Here is a 5,560-nt window from a genome sequence, read left to right on the forward strand (position 1 = left end):
AACCTCCCCCTTCTCCGGGGTTTCTTTTTTGACCTGATCCCTCAGTGATCTTTGACGCTGGGCTTTGCTGCCCGGCAGGTGTCACTCATCCTTCACCCCTCCCCTCCCAGCTCACCCTCTTCGCCGCCTGGTCTCAGGGTCTTCTTCACTCCTTTCTACCTCTCCTTGTCTCTCTCCCATCCCATTCCTGGAAGTTCTGGACTGGAGGTGGTTGCTCTGGCTTCTCCTCCCTCCTAGGACCCTCAGATAGTGTTGGGGGCAGGGGGAGTGCGGCGGGGAGGGCACAGGATGGGCTGGCGAGGAGAGTGAGTGCTGGGCTCGCACCGGGAGCCGGGAGCCTGACGTCACCACGCCCTGCCTGTCAATCTGCAGCGCGCGCCGCTCGCAGCCGCCTTTTCTGCCACCAACTGTATCTCTCACTCGCGGAGCCGGCACAGCGACAGGCGCCCCGCGCTTGCCTCCTCCCCGGCCCGGCCGCCTCCTGCAGGCAGCTGCTCTGTTTGCGCGGGGAGCTCAGCCCGGCGCCCCGCCTCGGCGCCCATGACCAGCGACTTCCAGAAGTCCTGACGCCCCAGGTGAGTGGCCGAGTTCCCAGGGAACTTTGAGGATGTGGGGAGAGGAGGGGAGAAAGATATCCAGGGGACAGGTCTTTCCAGAAGAGGAGAAATGGAGCCAACCTTGACTCCCACCCTCTGCTGCCCCCATACACACACCCTAGTCTCTCCTCCCAGACCCCCTTCGCAGGGGTCTCTGGGCTCCAGGACTCTCCAGGCTTCGCAATGCCAGAAACTTCGCTTTCAGCACCGCGGACAGCGTCTCTGCTGCCCAGCCCCATGGGGATGTCCTGGTCGCGCCGCCACAACCCAGGCGGGACTCTCCCAGGATGACACTCCTAGCTTGGTGCACTCGGGTGCGTGTGCAAATACAGGCAGCCTTGGAGAATTGATCCTTGTGCATGTGAGTGCATGTTGTCCTGGTGTATATCTGCAAAAACTCAGAAGTCCGCGTGGGCATTTCACTCACTCACTCAACAGGTATTTATTTTGGGTTCGCACTTAACCCATGATTCCCCGATTTGCTCTGGGGTCCCAGGGTGGGGTGGGCAACTCAAGTGGGGCAATGCGAGAGGAGGCTCTACGCGTGGGGAAGTTTCCTGGCAGCCTGAAGTGTACACCTGACGCCTGCACTCCCTCCCTATGCAGGGTGCAAATCCGGCCGCGATGAACGCGAGCGCCGCCTCGCTCAACGACTCCCAGGTGGTGGTAGTGGCGGCCGAAGGAGCGGCGGCGGCGGCCACAGCAGCAGGGGGGCCGGACACGGGCGAATGGGGACCCCCTGCTGCGGCGGCTCTAGGAGCCGGCGGCGGAGCTAATGGGTCTCTGGAGCTGTCCTCGCAGCTGTCGGCTGGGCCACCGGGACTCCTGCTGCCAGCGGTGAATCCGTGGGACGTGCTCCTGTGCGTGTCGGGGACAGTGATCGCTGGAGAAAACGCGCTGGTGGTGGCGCTCATCGCGTCCACTCCGGCGCTGCGCACGCCCATGTTCGTGCTGGTAGGCAGCCTGGCCACCGCTGACCTGTTGGCGGGCTGTGGCCTCATCTTGCACTTTGTGTTCCAGTACTTGGTGCCCTCGGAGACTGTGAGTCTGCTCACGGTGGGCTTCCTCGTGGCCTCCTTCGCCGCCTCTGTCAGCAGCCTGCTGGCCATTACGGTGGACCGCTACCTGTCCCTGTATAACGCGCTCACCTATTACTCGCGCCGGACCCTGTTGGGCGTGCACCTCCTGCTTGCCGCCACTTGGACCGTGTCCCTAGGCCTGGGGCTGCTGCCCGTGCTGGGCTGGAACTGCCTGGCAGAGCGCGCCGCCTGCAGCGTGGTGCGCCCGCTGGCGCGCAGCCACGTGGCTCTGCTCTCCGCCGCCTTCTTCATGGTCTTCGGCATCATGCTGCACCTGTACGTGCGCATCTGCCAGGTGGTCTGGCGCCACGCGCACCAGATCGCGCTGCAGCAGCACTGCCTGGCGCCACCCCATCTCGCTGCCACCAGAAAGGGTGTGGGTACACTGGCTGTGGTGCTGGGCACTTTCGGCGCCAGCTGGCTGCCCTTCGCCATCTATTGCGTGGTGGGCAGCCATGAGGACCCGGCGGTCTACACTTACGCCACCCTGCTGCCCGCCACCTACAACTCCATGATCAATCCCATCATCTATGCCTTCCGCAACCAGGAGATCCAGCGCGCCCTGTGGCTCCTGCTCTGTGGCTGTTTCCAGTCCAAAGTGCCCTTTCGTTCCAGGTCTCCCAGCGAGGTCTGAAGGGCTCGCCCCGTGTCCTCTCACCAACACCACACCCCAACAAGCCAGCCTTTGGTAAGCTCGGTGCCTGCTGACGAACTCTGAGATCCCAATGGTGTGAGTCTGACTTTGGAAAGAAAAAGGGACTAAAGAGAAATGTAACAAACTTACAAGGACAAAGAGGCTTGTTGGCACTTTACATATACAGTGTATACATGTGTACATATATATACAAATATTTGTATCTTCTGGAGGTGTTCAGGATGTGGAGCTTCCTATTCTGTGAAAAACCAAGAAAAAGATATGGTTGTATACTCAAATTGTACATCACGTTTGTCAAACGAAGACATTCCAATACTGCTTAATTATAGCACTTTATTTTTAGCTGCTGAACTGCCAAAACAGTGTTGCCATTTTCAAGGGCAGGGAAAAGGGAGTAAAAGGTGTATTTTTGTCGTATGTGATAGAATATTTTGCTGCACATGCATCAACAAATTACAACATGTTTTGTACACGAATAAACCCATTACAAGAATGTAATTTGGGGTATGTCACTGACTATAGAATTACAATTAGCTGAATTGTAAGTGTATGAGTGTCTTTCTTTCCTTTCTTTCTTCCTTTCTTTCTTTCTTGCTTGCTTGCTTTCTCTTGCTTTCTTTCTTTCTCTTTCGTTTGTTCGAGATAGAGTCTCACTCTGTCGCCCAGGCCTGAATGCAGTGGCACAATCATAGCTCAGTGCAGCCTTGAACTCCTGGGCCCAAGAAATCCTGCTTTAGCATCCCTAGTAGCTGGGACTACAGGCATGCCACAGCACTCACCTTACTTTATTTATTTTTTTAAGTTTTTAAAATTTCAGTAGTTTTGAGGGTACAGGTGCCTTTTTTGGTTACATAGATGAGTTCTTTAGTAGTGAATTCTGAGATTTTAGTGCACCTGTCACCTGAGCAGTGTACACTGTACCTGATATGTAATCTTTTATCCCTCACCTCCCTCCCAACCTCTCCCCACTGCAAGTCCCCACAGTCCATTATATCACTCTATATGGTTTTGTGTCCTCATAGCTTAGCTCCCACTTATAAGGGAGATCATATTGTATTTGATTTTTCATTCTTGAGTTACTTCACTTAGAATAATGGCCTCCAGCTTCATCCAGGTTGCTGAAAAAGACATTATTTCACTCCTTTTTATGGCTGAGTAGTATTCCATAGTATATCTATATCTATATCTATCTATCTATCTATCTATCTATCTATCTATCTATCTATCTATCATCTATCTATCATCTTTTCTTTATCCAATCCTTGGTTGAAGGGCAAGTAGGTTGGTTCCGTATCCTTGCAATTGCAAGTTTATTATGTAGCATCATTCTCCTGAGAAAACCTTAACGTAAAAAAATCATATGCATTTGCACATTGTTCATAAACTTTCACTGAAATACCAAATTTATATCATTGTGGTTGGGGAGGGAGGGTGCAGGAAGGGAGTAATATATTCATGTGGCAGTATTCACAGGACAACAAAGGGTTACTGGTGTTATCTGTGCAATTTAGTCTACTCCCTTGGTTAGTGGGTTTGGAAAACAAGTATCCGAGGATGTCCGAAAACATATCTTCCTCTCATTCCCTGTGCACTTGTGAATCCTGAAACCACAACTTTCATTTGTAATTTTTCCAGTATGGCAAGAATTTTAAATGTCTAAAATTCATGTTGACTTAATACATTGTCGCTGGCCAGATCTTGTAGTAAAATGCACAGGCTTGTAAAATGAATAAATTCTTCCAAGACAGAATTCCAAGATATATACCTCCGACCTCATGAGGTACACAAAAGTATATCCAGTATCCTCTCTTGAGGTGCTCTCACCTTCAAAAGAGGGCACTAAAATCCTTAAGCACTAAACATTCTTATTCCACTGATAGATGTGAGTCATGATGATTCCCCTCCTTCCCTTCTTATAGGATGATGTGAGGATAAATTGGAGAACACATGAGGGCATGCTCTGAACCCTCTGTGAATTAATATGCACACCAGCACAAGTCGTTACTACTCTTATGCCTTAGGAAAATACACACAAGCAAATTTATTGAGTTCCTACTATCCTACTATTGAGTTCCTAGACACAATTCCACGGATTGGAATATGGAAGTGAAAAAAAAAAAACAGGCAAGAAGTCTCTGAACTCCATAGTGCTACCTTCTAGTGGGGAAGATGGCCTACAAGCAAACAAACAAATATATAATGTCATGTTAGGATAAATGCTAACAAAGAAAATAAAGGAGGATGAGAGATGGAGTGCTCCAGTTAGGGTGGCCAGGGAAGATCTCTCTGAGGAGATAACATCTAGGAGGAAAGCTCAGTGAAGGGAGAATGAGATGCATGAGCATGCAAGGGAACAGCTTTCCAGACAGAGGAAGCAACAAGTGTGAAGGCTTCCAGGTGGGAGCATGGTCTTCAAGTTCAAGGAACAGCAAGGAGGTCAACGTGGCTAGACAGGCTGAACAAGGAGAAGAGAGGCATGCAGTTAACTTGAAGGACCTGGGATACGATCATCTCAAACTTCACAGGCCACTATAGGGACTTGGGCTTTGACCCTGAGTGATATGAAAGTGACATGATATGGTTTATATTTTTAAAAAAATCACTCTAGCTATCCTGTTGAAAATAGTCTCTAGGAGGGTCAGAGTGAGAGCAGGAGATAGGGGTCTATAAACATAATCCCCATGAGAAATGACAGTGGCTTGAGGCACAATGACAGTGGTGGAGATGGTGAGAAGTAGTAGATTCTAGAAATGTGTTGAAGGATAAATGGGAGGTGGGGCATGAAAGAAAAAAGTTCGGAATTCATCCAATGAGTGAATGCGGGGCTTTAGTGAGCAAGGAAAAACTGAGGGTTGGGGGGGTGTACATTGGGAAGTGTGACGATTAATTTTATGTGTCAACTTGGCCAGACAATAGGGAGCCCAGATATTTGGTCAAACACATTTTGATCATTTGAAGTCCTGAATAGAACAAAAATATTGGCCTCCCCCAAGCAAGAAAGAAGTCTTCAGTGGGTTTCCCTTGGACTCCACTTGCAACATTGGCTCTTCCTGGTTCTACGGAAGATGGTCTTGAGACTGGAACTACAGTGTCGACTTCCCTGGGTTGTCAGCCTCCTGGCCCACCTTGCAGATTTTGGACCTGCCAGCCTCCATAATCATTGAAAAATTCCTTAGAATAAATGTCTTCATGTGCACATATGCGCACGTGCGCACGCACACACACACACA

General features: G+C 50.3%; 1 protein-coding gene across 2 annotated transcripts, besides 3 other annotated features; it reads left to right on the forward strand.

Annotated features, from left to right (window-relative positions):
- The first annotated feature begins 418 nt into the window (after window positions 1-418).
- On the forward strand, window positions 419-2,828 carry GPR6 (G protein-coupled receptor 6). Of its 2 annotated transcripts, NM_001286099.2 has the most exons (3): window positions 419-575; window positions 802-910; window positions 1,203-2,828. In NM_001286099.2, the coding sequence occupies exons 2-3, from the start codon at window positions 884-886 to the stop codon at window positions 2,307-2,309; spliced, it is 1,134 nt and encodes a 377-aa protein (NP_001273028.1). In that variant the 5' UTR covers window positions 419-575; window positions 802-883; the 3' UTR covers window positions 2,310-2,828. The 2 variants fall into 2 exon arrangements, with proteins under 2 accessions (NP_001273028.1, NP_005275.1); NM_005284.5 differs by lacking the exon at window positions 802-910.
- Window positions 748-911: a silencer, noted in NCBI's record as "fragment chr6:110299843-110300006 (GRCh37/hg19 assembly coordinates)". NCBI's record gives its function as "represses an EF-1alpha promoter that drives an FKBP-Casp9 reporter gene in an ReSE screen in phorbol 12-myristate 13-acetate-treated (for megakaryocytic differentiation) K562 erythroleukemia cells {active_cell/tissue: K562(+PMA)}" and the evidence as "EXISTENCE:reporter gene assay evidence [ECO:0000049][PMID:32094911]".
- Window positions 748-1,655: a biological region, named in NCBI's record as "H3K27ac-H3K4me1 hESC enhancer GRCh37_chr6:110299945-110300750".
- Window positions 850-1,655: an enhancer, noted in NCBI's record as "H3K27ac-H3K4me1 hESC enhancer chr6:110299945-110300750 (GRCh37/hg19 assembly coordinates)". NCBI's record gives its function as "activates a minimal SCP1, AML or CMV promoter by ChIP-STARR-seq in primed H9 embryonic stem cells {active_cell/tissue: H9 hESC(primed)}" and the evidence as "EXISTENCE:reporter gene assay evidence [ECO:0000049][PMID:30033119]".
- Window positions 2,829-5,560: the final 2,732 nt, after the last annotated feature.

The sequence above is a fragment of the Homo sapiens genome, chromosome 6 (genome assembly GCF_000001405.40).
Source record: "Homo sapiens chromosome 6, GRCh38.p14 Primary Assembly".
Lineage (NCBI taxonomy): Eukaryota > Metazoa > Chordata > Mammalia > Primates > Hominidae > Homo > Homo sapiens.

What these genes read in the sequence shown, in the direction of transcription:
- GPR6 (NM_001286099.2), top strand. Translation starts at nt 884, where the DNA reads ATGACACTCCTAGCTTGGTGCACTCGG. An exon ending in TCCTAGCTTGGTGCACTCGG is followed by an intron (nt 911 to 1,202) that starts GTGCGTGTGCAA and finishes CTCCCTATGCAG; the next exon opens with GGTGCAAATCCGGCCGCGAT.